Below are 21,968 nucleotides of genomic sequence, written 5' to 3'. Positions count from 1 at the left end.
AGGGTGCTGCTGGCTGCGGAGAAAACCAAAACAGAGCCAGGGAGAGACTCATAGGAAGTGCTTGTTGAACAGAAGGGCGATTTCCCGGGTTGAGGACTTGGAGCAAGGGTTTGCAAGTGGCCTCTCCTGGCCATCAAGACAGCCTGCAGCAGTCCTGTTCCATGTCCTGTGGCTGAGGCCTGGATCAAGGGCTTTACTGGACAGAACAGCTGGAATCTGCGTTCCTGTGTCTGAGAGCTTTGTCCAAAACTTGAGAAAGCCACTCTACCCTCATGGCAGGCCCCAAGAGCCAGGGAGCTTATACCCTTGGGAGCTGCTCCCAACCAATGATGGACAGGGACTTTGGGGAGGGATTGGCAATTGTGTTGTAAGATACCATGGATGGGTCTGAACCCCAGCTCCTCGCCTCTGGTAGAGGGGAATAAGCCTGGGATGCTTGTTTCCGGGAGTCTTCTCATGGGATTAAGCTGCAGTCACCCAGTTTATCAATTGCCCCAGTCTCACCCCCTTAACTGGGTGCCATCCTTCACTCAGTCCCCTCCCTGTCTCCCTTGCACTTCCCAAATCAGTTACTTGCCCTGGAATGCTTGGCTCCAAGTTTGGGAAAATCTAGCCCTCGGCAAAGACCCATGTCAGACAGCTGGGGCTGAAGGCTTTTGCTTTTCCTTAAATCCCCAGTCAGATCTGCTTTCGTGCCCAACTTAGAACTCTCAGACTCAAGCCTTTTTATAGGGACCACTCTGCATAGGTGGTGACTAGTCCATACAGAAGCAACCAGAGCAGGCAGGAGGTCAGGCCCAGGGACAAGCCCCTCGCGTCTTCCCCAGGAGGGTCTGAGACTGCAGCATAGTCCCGTGCAGCCGGCCAATCTGTGCTGCCAGGCAATCTTAAACCACAGTGACTTAGCAGGTCCTGGGGCCAGCCTGACCAACAGCGGAGGAGCCTTCCTTCTCCAGAGTGGATAATTTGGAGTCATTTCACGGGGTCCTCCAGAGGGGTCCTGGGGTGGAGCCCCATTGCCCACAGCAGTGGTGAATTTGATGGTGTGTCCTTCGATTGGCTGGGCATCTGCTGCTTTTGCCCCTCCTTCCCTCATCCCTGCTTACGGGGTCATGTTCCGGAATAAACTACTCACATATACTGTTTTGCCTCAGCTCTGCCTTCAGAACACTCAGGCTAAGGCACCAAAGGGAATGAGAGTCGCTCAGACACTCTGGTTGGCTTTCCCAGGCCAGCCCTCTGGGGCTGGTGTCTGGGCTTAGCTTCTGAGCACACAGTTCCCCACGGCACCGTCCTGCTCCCTCGCCACCCTGAGTAGCGCAGCCCTCTGTGCCTTGGCTTACATCCTTCCCTCTGCTTACAATGTCCATTCTCTCTAATGGCCTCTGTGCAGCCATCTCTGGCTCTCCTACAAAGCGCTCCCTGAAGCCAGGGAGGAAACACCTCTTCTGGAGCACCCGCCCTGGAGCACTCCCCACACCAAAGGCCACAGCTGTCAACAGGACTGACCAATAGGACTGCTGTGGGATAGAGAGGGACAGGGAACACAGAGGAACTCACTACTCAGGACCTGGCTCCTGCACACCCACCATGGCGGCCTTGCTTTCAGTCACCTGTAGCGTGTCCAGTCCTGTCCTTGGTGCTGTGAGTAGGACAATGCTGTGGGATGGAGATCGAGACAGGGAACACAGAGGAATCAGCCAGGCAGACTGTCCAGTGGCACGAACCTCAGTGAGAGCTGCAGCCTCAGGCCCACGGTGGCACTGTGAGGACAGGCGGGCAGGGCAGTGACCCTGTGCAGGGAAAGCCCCTCCGTCAGGAGCCGTCACTTCCTCTGAATGGAGGGCTGTTCCCATATTGCAAAACTTCTCTGTGCCTGGCACATGGTAGATAACCAAGAAATAATGAATGAATGGAAAATGAAGGCATATATGATAAAAAAGAATGAACATACTCTGTACATGTTTGCTGTGTGTGTTACAGCATCAGAGCGCCTCTGCCTCATATGCCCTGGGGAATACCCCCAGGCACAGACAGTCACTCCCGAGGCCCTCTGGGCAAACATCTGTCACTACTTCATGTTGCAATCTGCTTACAGGTGAGTCTCGCCCCAGCCTGGGAGCACCTGAGACCTGAATCTTTCTCTCTGTCTACTGCACCTGGAAAAGGACCCCCGCAGAGAGAGAGCTGATGGGGCTGGGCGGCAGGCATGTGCACAGAGGGTGTGTTGGATTCTAATGAGATGTAAAGGGATTCTTCACTAGACAGGGAAGACTAAAAGCAAGGCCACCGTGGTGGGTGTGCAGGAGCCAGGCCCTGAGTGGATTCCTCTGTGTTCCCTGTCTCTCTCCATCCTGCAGCAGTCCTATGAGGGGAAAGTCACTTTATAATCTCATTTCACAGAAGGGGAGAAAGTGAGCCTCGGGGAGGGTGAACATGGGGACCAAGGCTGCATGCTTGTGTTGATGAAGAATGACCATGCACTCAGTTTTGGCGCCACCCCTGCGCTCTCCTACTGCATCCCCTGCACCCCACACCCCTCCGCTTCCAGTGACTGGACCGTCCCCTCCTGTCCTGGGCAATCTCAACTTCTGTTACAGGGTGAACATTGAGCTTCTTCCCAAGACTGCAAACACCTCACTCATCACCCCAACACTAGCCCCTGAGCAACACTTGAACAGGATTGGCACTGAGTAAGGGGGGGCTTACCTGGTTCTTTTAGATGTAGAGGCCATGAGATGCCCCCAGATTTCTAAGGACAAGGGATTCCCCATTCCCTGCAGAGAAGGATACAGAATTCCCATGCGCAGACCCCTCTGCTGCTGCTCTGCCTGTCTTAGGGCAAGCTGACCCTGCCCCCAGAAACCCCGGGGTGCTTGAGTGACTGTGACACCGGCCAAAACCACACACAGCCGCTTGGGGAGCAGCTGTAGTGACAGGTGTCCGTGGTGTGGCTTTGAATGGGAAGGGAGCTCAGGTCGTGTTAGCCCGGCGCCCCTGCCATGCATAAAAGAAAGGGCACAACTCTTGGTGGTAAGCGCAGTGATTTGAAAATAAGGCCGGGTATGATTTTGAGGCAGACGCAAATCCCCCAGGCCTTTAGTGACGTTGTTCTGAGGATGACACATTCCTGCAACATGGTGAGTTATGAAGCAGGCCTGGAGTTTCTGGAGCATCCAGGCTGCCTCCCACTCCAGCCAGCAGCTGGGGTTTCAGAGCAGCTTACTGTGTCCCCCTGCAGAGGGTAGCAAGCAGAGCCCGTCCTCACTGCCCCTAGATGTGTGCTATTTGGATTCACCATTGCCTACTGCAGAGGGGTTTTGGGGGAGTTCAAAACACTCTGCAAAATTTGGTTGGCATTCCCCATTGATGATCAACAGTGGAAACCTCATCTCCTTCGTTTTCCTTCTCCAGTCACCAGAGAGCCAGGAAAGCATGGAACCAAAAGCTGATTCTTTGTCTGATCAGAGTCTCTGGAAAGGAAACCCAGACTCTCCTCTAGCTAGGAGGATGTTGGGCAAAGTTCATTATCATTCATTGAAGTGACTTCCTTCCTTCCCCACTCCTGCTGAGGCACCTGCCCCCAGCACCACCTTCTCCAGATGCTGGCCAGGTGATAGCTTTTAGATGCTGCAGTCCTTCCTTGCATACTTGAATCTAAGTGTGGCCTTGTCCATCAGCATCAGGGCACCCCGGGGAATGACTAAGAGGATTCATGGATGACTTCAGAGCAGGCCACTTCCCGCTGTCCTTAGACACGCACTAGCCCCATTGACTGCAGTTTCACAGAGCAGGTTGGAGCCCAGAATGGGGACTCAGCCCATGTGGATCACACCACAGCTAGGGCAAGAACTAGAACTTGAACTCTGCTCCTCCAAAATGTGGGAAAGCAGAGAGGCGGATGGCCTGAAAATCACCCGCCGCATTGAACGGTATCTGTTTACAAAGACAGGAACTCAGAAATGCATCCATTGTGGCAAAACAAAGCCTCAGAAATATGAAAGCCAGTGCACTCTCAGAGAGGGCGAGCCACAGCGTGTTTTATATTTCAGCCCCGGGGATTGGTGCTGACCGGCCCCCTTTCCTCCAGGGCCCACAGCCCAGCCTGGGCTCAGTTCCCAGCATATCACAGTTTCACTGCACCTGTGCAGCATAGCTTTGTGGTGACTCACTCCTGCCTCCTCTGCAGGCCCGGCCGTGCTGGGGACCAGAACGTGTACACCCTTGGGCACAGCACTCTGGTACCCAGGGTACCCAGCATCCCTAACCAGGCATGACCTTGAAGCTCTTCATTTTGTCCTCATGCAAGTGGATGGAGCAGGGGATGCTAAGACCACAGGGTATTTGCCAGTGGGTCTCAGGAGGCTGGCTGGTCAGCAGGTCACTCAGTCTCCCATTCAAAATCTGCCAGGTGCCCAGGACCTGCCTGGCAAGGTACCCAAATCCTTGCAGCAGAATTAGTATGGGAGGTTGTCTGTGAGCCGGTCTGTTCTGTAGATGGGGGTGGGGAGGAGAGTAGTGTTCAGACAAGAGCAGGAGCTCCTCTGCCTTAGTCACACCCAGCTGTCCTTTGACAGCCTTTGACAGCTGGATGTGAAATTTCCTTAATTTTGAGATTGCACTGTCAAATTCTGCTGCCGTCTTTGCTGAGAAATTGCCACACATTACAGAAGTAGTAAAACTCCCTCTTCATTCCTGTCCCTTTGCTGAAGGGACAGTGGTGAACTGGTGGGTGGGGGACAGGGAGTTGGCCCTTTCTATCCGGGTTGCGAGGTAGAAGTATGTCATCATTCCATGCTTATATGTGCACAGGAAAGCGTACCCATGCATGCACAGACTATTGCTTTTTACATATATGATCATTTTGCAGCTGGGTGCAATGATTCATGCCTGTAATCCCAGCACTTTGGGAGGCTGAAGGGGGAGGATTGCTTGAGGCCAGAAGTTTGAGACCTGCCTGGGCAACATAGCGAGACTTCATCTCTACAAAGATTAAAAAAAATTAATAATTATTCTGCACATATTGTTGGAGACTTGGTTTTCTCAGGCCCTTCAGCTTTTCTGTTAACCCCTGTGGAGGGGCACACAGTTGAGATGCAACTTTGGGCGTTCAGCCATTTCTCTGCCAAGGACATCTATGACTGTTTTCCTTTTTTTAATCTTAAAAAAAATCCTGTTCTTTCTTCTTCTTATCTTGATCCATTTGCTGCATTTTTCTCTGAAAAGTCTATGTGTGTCTTAGAAACCTTAGCTCTTGTACTTGAACTGCTTATTTTGCTAGTACAATGAAAGTGACTCATCAGTGATATTTAAAGCCCCTCTAATGACCCCAACTACCCCTGTCCCTGGGAACACCTTGTCTTGGGATTTGCACGAGGATACCTCACCCTGAATACGCAAATAACCTTTAGAGATGGTTTCGATTAACTAAGCAAGTAAATGTTTGACGTGCACTAGGACTCTATTATCAAGATCTATATATTGTTTTTACCTAAATGTATGTGCAGAGAAAATTAAAATATCTATACTGAATATTTTCAGCACTTGTCTAATATACATTGTCTTGTTAAATCTTCACCATAATTTTATGAGGCTAATAGTATTATTATTTGTGCCTTATAACTGAGGACACAGTAGTGGGCTGAATGGTGGTCTCCAAAAAGATATGCCCACATCCTGATCCCTGGAACCTGTAAATGTTTACTTTATTTGGAAAAAGGGTCTTTGCCAATGTATTAGTCCATTCTCATACTACTATGAAGAAATACCTGAGACTGGGTAATTTATACAGGAAAGAGGTTTAATGGACTCAGTTCCGCATGGCTGGGGAGGACTTAGGGAACTTACAATCATGGCAGAAGGCAAAGGGGAAGCAGGCAACTTCTTCACATGGCAGCAGGAGAGAGAGCTGCAAGCAGAGGAAATGCCAGATGCGTATAAAACCATCAGATCTTCTGAGAACTCACTGTCATGAGAACAGCATGGGGAAACTGACCTCAGGATCCAGTTACTCCCACCTGGTCCCATGCTTGACATGTGGGGATTATAATTCAAGATGAGATTTGGTTAGGGACATGGAGCCAAACCATATCACCTGATATAAGTGAATCAAGTGTCTGGAGATGTGAAGATCATCCTGAGTTATCCAGGTGGGCCCTGACTTTGATGACATGTGTCCTTACAAGAGACACACGGGGGAGCTGGCATAGGGAGAGACCGTGGAGCGAAGACAGAGGCAGAGATTACAGGGATGCAGCCACAACCTCAGGAAGGCCACCAAAAGCCAGAAAAGTCAAGAAACGGATTTTCCCCTGAAGCCTGAGGGAGCATGACCCTGTAGACACCTTGATTTCTGGCTTGCAGCTTCCAGAGCTGTGAGAAAATAAATATCTGTTATTTTAAGCCACCATGTTTAATGTCATGGCCTCAGGAAACGAATTTACACACTGAGACTTAGAAGGTTGGAAACATCTGCAGGTTACGCAGCACCCCAGCACTATGTCCTGTGCCTCAGTGCCCAGGGGTGCTTAGGGATACAGAGGAAAACCATGCACTTCCAGCCCTGGGAAACCACCCGAGCTCCAGGCCTCCTGTGGGGACTGCAGAGGGGAGCTCTGCTGAGAAGCCCTTGAGCAGAGGCGGTTTGCTCCGGCATCAGCGCTGCAGTGGGTAGGATGCTGGCGTGAGTGTTCTAGATAGTTCTGCTGCTCTCAGCCCTGGCTCTGTGGTAGGTCCCACTCCACCTCCCCAGGCAGGAATGAGAGCAGGAAGTGTTCATTCCCACTCAGCACAGCCTGCTGCATCTTCCGGGGGCCTTGGCTTGAGAACACCAGATGGACTGGTCTAGGTGGCCAAAGAAGTGCCCACTGGACAGATGCAAAGGTTCCAGGAACCCATATCACGGCAGGGTTGGGAGGCGTGGGGAGAGGGTGGGGCTAGAACACCTTCAGAATTAGAAAGACCACCTCTTCTGCTTCCCAGGGAATCCTTTATCTTCTGGGTCTCAGCTTCATTTGCTGTGAAGGAGGTCAAAGAGGTGCCTGTTGCACAGGTGCAAAATATCCCAGGCACCCATGTCACTAGGGAGCAGGAGGCAGGGTGAGGCCAGAACAGCTTTGGAATAAGGAACAACTGGTTTGGAATTAGTAAGACCACCTCTTCTGCTTTGCAGGGAAACCAGTATCCTCTGGGTTTCAGCTTCCTTTGCTGTGAAATGGACTTCCTAAGGGGGCTAAAGCATGCTCTGAAATGGGAAGGATGCAGGTCCCAGGCAGACATGTCCCCTGTATCTGCATACTCCTTGCCCTGGGACAAGGATCACAGAAGGGCCCTGCAGAGCATGGGGCTCAGGAAGAGGCCCCTACTGCTCAGGCCTGAGCACTGCACTGAGTTCCAGGGTTCTATTTCTGGAAGGCTTCCAAGGCAGAGAGAAGTCTTCAAGAGCCACCCTAACTCCATTTCCTCCCAGCCCTCCAGAACCTTCTACTGTGTTTGGTGGCAAAGCAGGCTCTACCCTCAGCTTCCCAGTGGAAAGGTGGGTGGGGTGGGGCAGGGTGGTGTGCCTGCCCCTCCCTGTGGTCAGACACCAAACCTGACCACAGGTACATCTAGGTGGTGAGCACTCCAGCTGCTCTTCCCACGAGGAGATACTGCCCCAGCCTACTGCTAGCCTAGCCAGGGCAGCCATTCCTCAGATGACAGCAGCTACTGCCATTTACTGAGCACCTACTGTGTGTCAGGCTCAGTGCTAAGCAGTACCTCTACTTGATGAAAAATATGATTCTTGTCCCCACTTCACAGATGAGATGACAGCGCCAGCCGGCTTCTGCAAATGAACTGACACATGGGTGTCTTTTCTGGAGACCATGATTCAATAGCCTGTCTTCCCCCAAAACGGTTTTATTATAAAAAAAATACTTAGCGTATTCCACTTAGAATTGTAGATATTTCATATCTTTTGCTTATTACAATGCACTGTGCTAAGCATCCATTATTTAACTGTGCACTGGGTGTAATCATTCTTCAGGTACTGGTATGCCAGCAATAATTTACATCCCATGTAAGGAGTTGGGATGTATTCTCTACCTGTGTGGATAGAGCTGACAGCAGGACAGAATATAATTGTTCCAAAAAGCCACACTTGATAGTTAATGAATGAGCGGGTGAGGATTAGAGATGGGGAGATCCACCAGCGTTTGTGAGAGGTAAACCAACAATTAGAAGAAGAATATGTTCTGTTGGCTGTCAGGGAAAATTTTTGCAACGCAAAAGGGAAAAGATGATTTAGACTCAAGGGTAACAATGTCTGCTTGCAGGTATAGGGGTGAGGAAAGTCATGCTCATAGATGTGCTTAAAGATATATTTTTAAGAGGACTTAGAATTTCCTTCAGTGCTTTTAAGATGTCAGAAAGATTTGGCTGTGCCTGTCCATGTGTTCACTCGACAGGTGTGTCCCGGGCATGTGCTGTGTGCCTGGCGCGTGCAGCCTGGGAGCTCTTGCACCAGGAACAGCTCAGAGCAGCAGCTCATGTCCCTCTCTGAGTCCAGGAGAACCGAGGCTCCAGGGAGGATATATTTCTGTATCCCCAGGAAGCAAATGTGGATGATAATCAGAGTCATTGCTGCTAGTTATTGACCACGGAGTGTCTTCCAGGACGCTGCATGTTATCTGTTATCTCCATGATGACAGGAGGAACTGGACAGTGCTGTCTTTACATGTCACCTTGGAGGAAGCTGGGGTTGGGGAGATGAAGGACCTGCCAGAGGGAGGGGCGGAGGCCTGTCTGGCCCTATCTCTGGGGTCTCCCTCCATCCTGAACTGTGGATGCTCAAACCCAGAGCTGTGACAGCAGGTCTCAGCGGAGGCGTATTCGAGGTTTTGTCAAAACTGAACCTTTTCCTGCCCAAGGGGAAAGAGTTAAACTGCCTGAGGAATTCAATTTTACTTTGATTCTATGAATTCTATATTTTTTATATATTAAGCTTCCCTTTGGAGAGTGTGTGTGTGTGCGGGCGCGCATGTGTGTGTGTGTTTAAGTAGACAGCAGCCACTCTGCAGTCGGTGCCAAGGTCCCTGTTCAGTTGACCCGGGCAGACAGGGAACCTGCTGGCCTGCCCTCTAGTGCCAAGGACTGCAGCAGCCTGGGACCATCTTCATATCAGTCTTCCAAGTTTCCAAAGCTAGATCCAACTGCGCTGGAAAGGCACATGCGTTTCAAGCGTTGGGTGGGCTATCCTGCCCCTCTGAATAAGCGGACACCTAGCTTTTCCTACTTCCTCAGGCTGCAGGTGCAGCATTGACAGATCACTGGAGCCCTGGAACTTTATTCAATAAAAAGCTTCTGCAACCCAACGGGACACTGACTTGACCCCTAGGCAGAGGCTCCTCACCCACTCTGTGCTTACTCTTAGCGTCTCAGGTACTTGAGGCCCTCACCTCCCTGTGTATTTCAGTGATGGTCTTGGGGGTCGCAAGCGAGCAGGGAGGGACTAGCCACACTCTCATCTCTTGAGCAGGTTCTAGGGGCTTGGCTCAATGCTAGCTGCTCTCCACTCAAAACTACTCAAAACCTGCTCCATCACCCCAGCATCCTTTGATTTAGGATTAATAGTCCTGTTTTAGAAATGAAGGTTTTGAAAGGTCTTACTGTCCTCCTTTCTCTTGGCCGACATTTGAACCTGAATCCAGATATTTTTCTTTTTCTTTTTCTTTTTCCTTCTTCTTCTTTTTTTTTTTTTTTCAAACAGGGTCTGGCTGTCTCTCCAGGCTGGAGTGCAGTGGTGCGATCATGGCTACTGCAGCCTCGACCATTCAGGCTCAAGAGATCCTCCCTCCTCAGCCTCCCAAGTAGCTGGGACCACAGGCACAAGCCACTATGCCTTGCTAGTCTTTTAAACTTTTTTTTTTTTGGTAGAAATAAGGTCTTGCTGTGTTGCCTGGGCTGGTCTGGAACTCCTGGGCCCAAGTGCTGGGATGACAGGCAGGGACCACTGCTCCCGGCCTTGGACCCAGAGTTTTGAGTATTCTGTATACACAGCTTCTCCGCAGTATTGGCCAGGTTGTTGACTCTGACATCTTGGCTGGAGACCCTGGTTGCTTGCTGCAAGTTGTTTTGTCTACCCCTTTATTTTGCCTTTAAACTTGCCATTTCTTTTTAAGTTTGTAATTTCAGGCTTACAGAAAAGTTGCGAGAATTCTCATATTCTCTTCATCAGATTCCCTAATTGTTAGCATTTTACCAGCTTTTATTCTTTTCTCTCTTCCTCTCTCTTTTTATGTATCACACTGATATGACTTGGCTGTGTCCCCACCCAATCTCATATGAATTGTAGCTCCCATAATTCCCATGTGTTGCAGGCAGGACCCAGTGGGAGATAAGTGAATCGTGCAGGAGGTTTCCCCCATACTGTTCTCGTGGTAGTGAGTAAGTCTCACGAGATCTGATGGTTTTATAAGGGGTTTCTGCTTGCACTTGGCTCTCATTTTCTCTTACCTGCTGCCTTGTTAGACGTAGCTTTCACCTTCCACCATGATTGTGAGGCCTCCCCAGCCATGTGGAACTGTGAGTTCATTAAACAACTTTTCCTTTATAAATTACCCAATCTCAGATGTGTCTTTATCAGCAGCGTGAAAACAGACTAATACATACATACATACACACACACACACACACTGTAATTGTGTGTATACACGCACTTTAATTTTTCTGAACCATTGGAGAATTAACTGCAGACCTGATGCTCTTTCACCCATGAATACTTCAGCGTGCATTTCCCATAAACAAGATGTGCACTTCCATAAACACAGGAATTAGAAAATACACAAAAATCAGGAAGTTAATATTGATAGGATAACCCGTCATCTACAGATTTTGTTCTGATGGGGCTGATTATCCTAACACTCTCCTTAGTGGTGGAAGGAAATCACAGATCGTGAGTTGCCTTCGGTGCTCATCTCTCCTTGGCCTCCTTTTATGCCTTTATCTTCCTTTGTGTTCCATGACACTGACGTTTTTGAGGGCTGGAGTCTGGCTACTGTGTGGATCGTCCTCAATTTGGGTTTTTTAAATCCTGATATTTTATGAGGATTAGGTTTGCATTACTCATTTCTGGCAGAAATACCACCAAAATGGTGCCTTGGTCTCCTTGGTTCTTCCTGTCAGGGGGCACAAGATGTAGCTTTGTCCCATGATTAGAGTTGCTAATCTGGATGTCTTGGTGACAGTGGTGTTGCCAGCTTTCTCCATTCTTAGGAAAATGTCCTTTTCCTTTGAAATAAGTAAGCGTCTTATGGGAGATATTTCAAGACTATGTAAATATCCCCTGTTATTCCTCAAACATCCCTTCAGTAGTTTTAATATCCGTTGACGATTCTTGTTTGATTCAAGGATGATGATGATAGTTGCCAAGAGGAAATTTTTCTAATTATAGTATTCCTTCTACATTTACTAATTGTCTTTCTACTGCAAGGAAGAGCTTTTCCTTCTTTTTCATTTATTTATTTATATCCATGTAACTGGTGAATGCTTATTTCATTCAATAAATCATGATTTTCAATCATTATTTATTTTTGTGCTAAATTTGCCTCATATTTGGCCAGTGGGAGTCTCTGCAAATTGGCTTCTTTGTCCTTTTGATATGTCCCTGTTATTCTTTGAGCATTTCCTTACTTTTTGGGACCAGAAGTTTCAGGCTCATCTTGTGCTTTCTCGGTTGCAGGCCTGCAATGACCATTTTGTAAGTGGCCCTGTCTTCTCTTAGAGGAGAATGACATAGAAAGAAACGCCTCCATGCTAAGTATGCTCGTTGCTATTGGAGTTCCATTGCTTCCAGGTCCTCTGTGCGTATGCATATGAACAATTTCTTTATCTCTCTCCTTCTCTCCCCTGACCTCCCTCACTCTCTCTCCCTTCCTCCCTTCCTCTGTCCCTTTTTAAACCATGAGTTTTTACTTATAACTTCAATTTCAATCCAGCACCTTAGGGCTTATTCTGTCTCCTCCTCCCCTTTCCAATTTTATACTCCTTTCTCCAACAATGAGAAACCTGGCTTTGAATGACTATAGTATATTTATTTGTTTGTTCAGTTGTTGACTATTCATAATTATTTTATGTCAGCTATTTTAATTTTTACTGTCAAATTTATGTGAATTGCACAAGTAATACATGAACACATTCTTTTTAAAAATGATTTTAAATACAGGTAAGAAAGATTGTATCCTCCACATTCACCCATACCTTCAGGTCTAATCAATATGATCAATTTGGTATGAATCTTTCCAGACATTTTTCTGAGCCTTATACACCCACAGAAATTAGAATTGTAGTGTTTTGACTTATTTTTATATAAATGATTTGATAGTGTATATTCTGATTAGCAACATACTTTTTTAAATTTAAAAAAAACAAACTCTTGGAGACTTTTGATGTTGTGACATGTCGATTCACTTCATTGCAGCTTAACTCGAGATGCTGAACAATAAGAGAAGTCTCTGAGGTCTGAATACTATTTTAGCATGCCTCATCTATGGAATATCATGTAGTACTTAAAAGGAATGCCCAGCCATTTCATGCACATCAGCAAATACATCCCTAGAGTTGCTGCAGAGAAGTAGGATTGTTGGGACTTAGGACGTTTATATTTTCTAGTTAAATAAATATTACAAATGGATTCCAATGTGGCTGCACTGGGGGCCACACTACCTGCAATGAATGCTGAGTGTCTTCTTGGGCACCACAGGATGGGTTGTAACAGCCCCTACCACTCCGTCAGAGGCAGGGAATGCACTCTTGAGACTGCAACTATCTTGAAGCATCCAGCTTTGTATGGAGACCCCATGTAATCCTCTGCAAGGCTGGTGGCTGACCAGGGCTCTATCAGGTCTTACAGTACAGGAGCAATGATTTTCACATGTCCAGAGCTCCCATCTGATAGTGCAGTTGTCAGATGTAGCTTGTGTTTTAACTACACAGAAGCATTCTGTTACCAGGCAGAAGAACCTTCTGCGTGAGATTTTGTGTTGTTTTGTTTTGAATTTTGTCTATTTTAAAGATAGGCTGGAGGAGATAGGGGTGACCTGAAACCTTGTAAGCATCAATATTTCTTTTAAGAGCAGCTTCTTGTTTCCTAGTCAGATTCATATGAGCAATAGCCCCCCTATCTTTTTTGCCATTTTCCTTCCACATGAGTCCTGTGCACATTATCTTATTTTAGTTCCTTGCCTATCCAATGAGAAGGGTGAGACAAGTTTTTCCCATTTTTCAGCTTTCTCCTACTTAAGGTTGCACAGCAAATGTTGGGGCCTGGACTCAAATCCAGACCCCAGACTTTAACTCCAACATTTTTTCGTAAGTAAGATTTTTGTTTATTGTATACTGACTTGCAACAATTGAAAAATATAGAATATTATAATAAAGAAAAAAATAATAAATCACCAACAATCAACACTATCATCCAGAGATAATAACACTGTGAATATTTTCCTATATACTTTATACATACATAACAAATTACATAGAGTATTTATTTGACTGCTTTATATTGTAAGCATTTTCCAATGATATTAAATTTTCTTTATAAGATTTTAGGCAAGGAGCAGTGGCTCATGCCTATAATCCTAACACTTTGGGAGGCTGAGGTGGGCAGATGTCTTGAGCCCAAGAGTTCAAGACCAGCCTGGGCAAAATGGTGAAAACCTGTCTCTACAAAAATTTCAAAAATTAGCCAAGTGTGGTGGCATGTGCCTGTAGTCCCAGCTACTTGGGAGGCTGAAGTGGGAGCATCACTTGAACCCGGGATGTCGAGGCAGCAATGAGCTGAGATCATGCCTCTGCACTCCAGCCTGGGGGACAGAGCCAGGCCATATCTCAATTAAAAAAAAAGAAATGATTTTGAATGACCGTATACATATCCCATTATGTGGATAAATCACAATTTGGGCAATCTTCCATATTTGGATGTAGGCTAATTTTATACTGATATACTTTATAGTAGTCCGTTCCCTCACAGCTGTAAAGAAATACCTGAGAGTGGGCAATTTATGAGAATTTCTTATAAAATTTCTTATAAAAGTAGCTTCTTGTTTAATGACAGAGGTTTAATTGGTCACAGTTCCTCAGGCTGTACAGGAAGCATGGCTGAGTAGGCCTCAGGAAACTTTCAGTCATGGTGGAAGGCAAAGGGGAAGCCAGCATGTCTTACATGGCCAGAGCAGGAGGAAGAGAGAGAGTGGGGAGGTGCACACACTTTTAAACAACCGGATCTAATGAGCACTCACTCACTCACTATCAAGAGAGCAGCATGGGGAGGAAATCCGCCCCCAAGATCCAATCACCTCCCACCAGGCCCCACCTCCAACACTGGGCATTACAATTTGACATGAGATCTGGGTGCAGACACAGATGCAAATTATATCATACACTGTCATTGTTATATATAAAGTTTCAAATAACATCCCTGAATGCAAATATTTAACTATATCACTGATCATTTCCTTGGAACACAGACCTAAAAATGGAGAGAAATCCCAGGCCAAAAGTTATGCACATGTTTTAGGTTCTTAATACCTAAAGCTCAAGTCTACTTTAAAAAGGCCTTGCTGATAACCACCCTCAGGGTAGAGCAACCACAGTGCAAACCGCCCTCCTCCAAGTGTATTCCACATGAGAAATCATGATTTGATATTGTTACATCAAGTTTCCAAATGCAGATGAGGAAAACAGAGTCAGTGAGGTTAAATAAGCTTCCTAAGGTCACAGAGAGGGGACCCAGCTCCCATTCCCAGAGCTCGATGAACACCACTCCGCTGCTCCCCCATATCATCTGAACAACCCTGACCTTGGCAGGGGAGGCACGGAGCCCCCGAGGATGGTATCCTGTGTCGGTGGGACATGCATCTGCCCCCACCCCCTCTGCTTCTGCTATTTGAGAGGACTCATCCCATATGCAGGCGGCAGGGCGGTCACCACTATAATACCAGCCTGCCGGGCTCACCTCCCTCTGACACGGGAAAGTTCAGGGCATTATATGATATAGGATACCATGCATGGGTTGGTGTGATACAGTGGGACCCTGACTACACAGGGGTGAGTGGATGGATGATAGTTAGGAGTGACTATGGCAAAAATCCCACAGACTTGTTTTAAGTGAAGTCTGTAAGTGTGTAACAGTATAATTGTAGGTTGAGTTACCAACATGGATTAGAAATGACTAGGGACCAAGCATGGAATTGTGCCAAGGTCAGACTAAGGAATTTGGGGTTGTAGTTCTTCTAAGTGCAGTGGAGAAAAAAAATCCATCAATGACAGGTATGAAGTACTATACTTCTCTTAATCCATATAAACAGTCAGTAGTTATAGCTACAGATATATGTGCATCTTTCCTTTCATTGAAGGCTTCAGACAGGTTGGTTTAGGAGGGTGTGATGGTTAATTTTAGGCATCAACTTGACTGGATTAAAGGATATCTAGATAGCTGATAGAGCATTATTTCTGGGTGCATCTGTGAGTGTATTTCTGGAGGAGATTGGAGGGTGAATTGGTGGACTGAGATGGGAAGATCTACCCTCAATGTAAGCAGGCACCATCCAATCTGCTGGGGTCCCAAATAGAACAAAAAGGCAGAGGAAAGTTGAGTTTGTGCTTTCTCTCCCCTAGAACTAAGGCACCCATCTTCCGCTGACTTTGGACATCAGAGCTCCAGGTTCTCTCTCCTAGAACTGAGACACCCATCTGCTGCTGCCTGTGGACATCAGAACTCCAGGTTCTCTCTGTTAGAACTGAGACGCCCATCTTCTGATGCTTTTGGACATCAGAGTTCCAGATTATCTCTCCTAGACCTCAGACATACATCTGCTGCTGCCTTTGGACATCAGAACTCCAGGTTCTCTCTCGTAGAACTGAGACACCCATCTTCTGATGCCTTTGGACATCAGAACTCCAGATTCTGTTTTCTAGACCTGAGACACCCATCTGCTGCTGCCTTTGGACATCAGAACTCCAGGTTCTCTCACGTAGAACCGAGGCACCCATCTTCTGCTGCCTTTGGACATCAGAACTCCAGATTCTCAGGCCTTTGTACTCTAGGATGTGTAGCAGCAACCCCTGCCCCAGGTTTTCAGGCCTTTGGCCTCAGACTTCAAGCTACACCTCTGGCTTCTCTGGTTCTGAGGCTTTTGGACTTGGACTGAGCCATGCTGCAGGCATCCCTGGGTCTCCAGCTTGCATATGGCCTGTTGTAGGACTTCTCAGCCTCCATAATCATGTGAGCCAATTCCCTTAATAAATAGCCTCTCACTTATCTATCTATGCATCCTATTGGTTCTGTCCCTCTGAAGAACCCTGACTAATACTAAAGCTGTCTTCTGGAAGGGACAAATTTTAAGTGAAGATTCAAAGACCAGGGCTGCCATATGTGAGAGGAAAGTCACTGGCTAAGTAGAGAAGTATGCATTTCAAAAATATGCCTAAAAATCCACTGAGGAAATGAAATTACCCACTTAATTATCTATATAGTTTACATCCCTTGAATAATTGTCTACTAGGCATCAAGTGAAGATGGTATGACAGGGCAGATTGCCTGATCAGAGTGAGGTATGTGGGCCCAGTGAACCTCACAGGTTTACGGAATAGCTCAGTTGGTTCTCTTGTCATAAAGAACTATAAAACTAGACACAACGTATGACAACTGATTTGGGGCAATAACAATTAGATAACACAAAGCAGTGATTTCAGAGAGAAGGGAAGCTCATGTGAGGAGATTTCTGGTCATTCAGTCCCCTGCCGGGGTTGTAATAGTAGCACAATCACAGCAGAGCAAGCTGATATCTGGGCAGAGGATGGTGGGCATGCTGAGCTGAGGAGAATGAGGTCAGAGTTTGAGTCACTTCAAATGGCTGCAGTCTGCACAATGGCGCATCAGAGAAAGGGAGGTGTGTAGGTGGTTCCCTGCAAGTCCATGGCTGAGAACCAGACTGCACGTGCATGGAGATTACCTAGTGCTTACCAGAGTTAAGCTGTTGGGAGATTGAAAGTAGAGCAGAGAGACTAAAGCTTTGACAGTGACGGAGGACAGGCAGTGTGGTGGGGCTGGATGCTTGATTCTCAACCTTATTAGAGTGAAGAGATCTCTTGAGCATATGGTTAACATCTCAGCATCTTTCAAGACAACAGAAAATTGTGTCTAAGGTATAAGAACTATTCTTAATTTGTCCCAACAGAGTCCAAATTGAAGCCCCAACAAGAGTTTGCAGTTTGAGTCCTGTCAAATTAGAGGGGCTTGGGAAATACCTTGGACTTTCCATTTATTATTTAAAAAACATAAAACCAAGCCTACTAGACGATGTGCAAGCAACTGAACTGCCTAATAAACATGTGCACACATTCCTATGAAAAGATAACAGAATCCACATTCTCTACCACATATAATCTGTGGTGTGCAGTGTTCAATCAAATATCACTTAGGCATACAAAAATAAAAACATGAAAATGTGATTCAGGGATAAAGAAAATATAATCAAGAAACTAAATGTAAGATGACTCCTATGATGGAGCTAGCAAAGACTTTAAAACAAGTATAATATTTTCAAAGAATTAAAGAAAAATATGGTCCTAATGATTGAATAGAAAAAGAATCTGAGCAGAAAAATGTAAACTATACAAAAAATCAACCGAATGGAAATTCAGTAACAGAAAATTATAATAACTGAAACTTTAAAAAAATTACCAGATGAACCTAACAGAAGATTATAACTGGGCAGAGAAAGAAGGATCTTGTTTATAAATCAATAGCATTTTTCAATAACATATACGGAAAAAAAGAATTAAAAAAAATAAACAGAACCTTATGGACCTGTGTGAAAATATTTAATTGCTTAATAACAGTTTTCAAAGTGTGAGTGTCCCCAAGATTATTTCATAAAATCTGTACTACTAAAGCTATATTTATGATAACTAAGATATTATTTGCCTTTCTCACGTCCATCTTTTCATAGGTGTAAAGTGGAGTTTTCCATAGACTGCAAGATGAATGATATAACAACAGATTAAATGCGGAAACAAATATGAGACTGTAGCTGTCTTCTATTAAGCCATAAAAAGCACTCTGTGAAAGTGTCATTCTTCTCACGAAGAATTTTTGATTTTTTTCAATAAGTCTATCTTTTTTATTTTAATGTGTTATGGTATTTTTGTTTTTATGTGTGTCAAAATACATATTTTTAACAATTTGTCTGCTTTACTTTCTAATATAAATATTGATAGATATAACTACATAAACAAATGCTTTCGTGGTGCTTGAAAATTTTACATAATGTAAAGAAGTATTGGGACCAAAAAATATGAGAACTACTGCTTTTACATACCTGAAATTTGAGTCTCAGAAAACAATTGTAAGGAGCACACCAGCATTTAGAAAAACAATGACTAAAAACTTAACAAATTGAATGAAAAACAAGAAAAAAATTTTCAGATTAAAAACAAAACCAAAAATCTAAGTCAATTCCAAGCAAGATAAATGTAAAATAAATAATCAGAGTCAAATTGCAAAGAAAATACTGAAAGCGCCATACTGGAAACACGCATTACAGACATGAAACAAAAGGATAAAAATAACTTACTGTTGACTTTTCATATCAAACAATGAAGGCTATTAAAAGTCAATTTAATTACATTTTAAAAGTGCAAGTGTTTGGGAGGCCATGGTAGGAGAATCACTTGAACTCAGGAGTCCAAGACAAACCTAGACAACATAGTGAGATCCCATCTCCACAATTTGTTTTTTTTTAATTAGCTGGGCATGTTGTCACATGCCTGTAGTCTCCAGCTACTTGAGAGGTTGAGGCAGGACCACTTGAGCCCAGAATGTCGAGGCTGTAGTGAGCTATGATTGCACCACTGCACTTTAGTCTGACAGAACAGTACTCTGTCTCCAAAAAATAAGAATAAAAATAAAGTGTAAATGAAAAAAAAATCCTGTCAATTTAGATTTCTATATCCAGCAAAAATAGCTTCTGAAAGTGAGAATGAAATCAAGATAATTTCAGACAAAGAAAGTTAGGAAGTTTATTACTAGGATTCTTGCAAAAAAGAAATAGTGAATAGTATCATTCAGGCTGAAAGAAATAACAGCAAATGAAAATTTAGAATCTGTGTAAAAAATAAAGGGCATCAGAAATTGGAAATGAGTCTGTAAATATAAAAGCCTCCCTTTTATTCTCATAATTTATTTAAATTACTCATAATAAAACTAATTACTTATCACATAAATAATAACACTGTAGAGTGACCTTTAACATATATAGATAAGTAAAAAATAGGATAGCAATTGTAGGAAGGATATAAGGAGGTAAAAAAATCATATCCTGGGAAAAATATTTATTGTAAAACAGGAAGTATAAAGTATCAGAAGGGAAGTGTGAAATGTGAAGAGGTATAATATTGACTATAAATAGACTGATAATTTAAAAAACACATTTTAGTAGCCCTACATCAAGCACACAAAAATTAAGTACAAAAAAGAGAAGATGTATTAGATATCTAAAATATTTATCAAAGAATACAGGAAATAAGCAATAGAAATAATTTTATAAAACATGCTAGGGAAGTGGAAATCAAATTATAAGATGAACTTAAACCTCAACTCATCAAATAATAAAATGCAGATATACTAAGCATCCCAATGAAAATAGAGATTTTTGACTAGGAAAAAAAGTGAGATCCAACTCGATGCTATCTGTAGGAGACACATTTTAAAAATAAATAACAAGACATTGACTGTAAAAGATGGATAAAACATGCAATGCAAACAATAAGAGTAAGAAAGCTGGCGTGGCTATATGGGTATTAGAGAAGGTGGATTTCAAGACAAAGAGTAAGAGATAAATACGGGCATTAGACAATGATTAAAGGAACAATTCACTAGCAAGGTAGAACAATTTTAAATATGTATACCGTTTATCATAGGGCATCAAAATTCATAGCCGGGCACAATGGCTCACGCCTGTAATCCCAGCAATTTGGGAGGCCAAGGTAGGCAGATCACTCGAGGTCAGGAGTTCAAGACCAGCCTGGCCAACATGGTGAAACCCCATGTCTACTAAAAATGCAAAAATTAGCCAGGTGTAGTGGTGAGTGCCTGTAATCCCAGCTACTCAGGAGGCAGAGGCAAGAGAATCGCTTGAACCTGGGAGGTGGAGGTTGCAGTGAACCAAGATTGTGCCATTGCTCTGCAGTCCGGGTGACAGAGCAAGAGTCTGTCTCAAAAAAAAAAAAAAAAAATTCACGAAGGAAACATTAACAGAAATAAAGGGAAAAATGGACAAAGCCACAATGATAGAAAAATTTTAACATTTCTCTTTTGGTAATTAATAAAAATATACAAACCATAGATGAAGATGTCAAAGATTAATATAACAATATCCACAATTTTTATATAATTGACATTATAGAACTACCACAAACACCTGCAGAATATGTATTATTTTCAAATGCACATGGAATGGTCACCAAAATAGCTAATATTCTAGTCATAAAATAAATATCAGCAAAATTAATAACATTGCAGTCAGATAGAGTTGTTTTCTGACCACATGGCGTTAAATTAGAAATCAATATAAATGACATATCTAGAAAATCTCTAAACATTTTGGAATAAAACAAGCTTTTTCAATAACTCAGAAGCCAGTGAAAATTACAAGATAAATTTAAAATATTTGAAGCAAATGAAGATGAAAATTTAACATTTCAAACTTTGTTGGGTGCAGTGTACAGCTAAAGCAATACTTCGAAAAGAATGTATAGCTTGCAATATCTATTTTAGAAAAGAAAAAGGTTTAATACCAATTATTGATGTTTCTATTTTATAGACAGAAAAAGAAAATAAGCTCAAAGCAAAGAGAGGACAGAATTAATATAAATAAGAACAAACATCAATGAATGGTAAACATTCACATGGGGAAAATTAACAAAGCCGTAAGTTGGTTCTTTGAAAACAAACTTAATAAAATTAGTAAATCTCTAGGAAGACAAATTAATGAAAAAATAAAGAAAACAAATAAACAGTATTAGAGGTGCAAGTGGGGATATTAATACATATCCTGTAGAATGTTAATACATATTTAGAAGAATTTAAAATATATGCATATTTTAAAGAATAATAAGAAGCAATAATAATAGTAAGAAATAATGAGGAATATTATCATAAGGACATATTGCAATCAACTTCAGCCTGATAAGTTTAACAGTTTAGGTGAAAGAGACAAATTACTTTAAAACTAGTGTATTCCAAAACTGAATCAAGGGGCAATAAAAAATTGAACAGTCTCCAATGTATTGAAAGAATTGCCTTTTCACTCTGTTGATTGTTTTTTGTTTGTTTGTTTTTTCTTAGACGGAGTTTCGCTCTGTCTCCCAGTCTGGAGTGCAGTGGCATGATCTCTGTGCACTGCAGCCTCTGCTCCCGGGTTCAAGCGATTCTCCTGCCTCAGCCTCCCAAGTAGCTGGGATTAGAGGCATGTGCCACCTCGCCCGGCTAATATTTGTATTTTTAGTAGAGACGGGGTTTCACCGTGTTGGCCAGGCTGGTCTCAAACTCCTGAGCTCAGGTGATCCTCCCACCTTGGCCTCCCAAAGTGCTGGGATTACAGGCCTGAGCCACCACGCCCAGCCTGTTGATTGTTTCTTTTGCTGTACAAAAGCTTTTTGCTTGACTCAATTCTACCTATTACTTGCCCTTCATTCCCTGTGCTTTTGGTGTCATAGCCAAGAACTTATTGCCCAGATCAATGACAAGAAGGTTTTTCCCTATGTTTTCTTCCAGGAGTTTCATAGTTTCAGGTCTTACAGTTGAGTCTTTAATTCATTTTTAGTTTATTTTTGTGTATGGTGTGAGATAAGGGTCCGATTTCATTACAGCAAAGGAAAAAAATAAACAGAGTGAAAGGACACTCCTAAGGGAATGGAAGAAAATATTT

General features: G+C 44.0%; 1 protein-coding gene across 2 annotated transcripts in view, besides 2 other annotated features; it reads left to right on the top strand.

Moving 5' to 3' along the window:
- Window positions 1–21,968, top strand: part of TSHZ3 (teashirt zinc finger homeobox 3) — a 201,002-nt gene that overhangs the window by 92,348 nt on the left and 86,686 nt on the right. The gene's annotated exons all lie outside the window — the stretch shown is intronic.
- Window positions 2,628–3,625: an enhancer, noted in NCBI's record as "H3K27ac-H3K4me1 hESC enhancer chr19:31745811-31746808 (GRCh37/hg19 assembly coordinates)". NCBI's record gives its function as "activates a minimal SCP1, AML or CMV promoter by ChIP-STARR-seq in naive H9 embryonic stem cells {active_cell/tissue: H9 hESC(naive)}" and the evidence as "EXISTENCE:reporter gene assay evidence [ECO:0000049][PMID:30033119]".
- Window positions 3,626–4,624: an enhancer, noted in NCBI's record as "H3K27ac-H3K4me1 hESC enhancer chr19:31744812-31745810 (GRCh37/hg19 assembly coordinates)". NCBI's record gives its function as "activates a minimal SCP1, AML or CMV promoter by ChIP-STARR-seq in naive H9 embryonic stem cells {active_cell/tissue: H9 hESC(naive)}" and the evidence as "EXISTENCE:reporter gene assay evidence [ECO:0000049][PMID:30033119]".

Source organism: Homo sapiens, chromosome 19 (assembly GCF_000001405.40).
Source record: "Homo sapiens chromosome 19, GRCh38.p14 Primary Assembly".
Taxonomy (NCBI): domain Eukaryota; kingdom Metazoa; phylum Chordata; class Mammalia; order Primates; family Hominidae; genus Homo; species Homo sapiens.
This window is presented reverse-complemented; position numbering and strand designations above follow the sequence as displayed.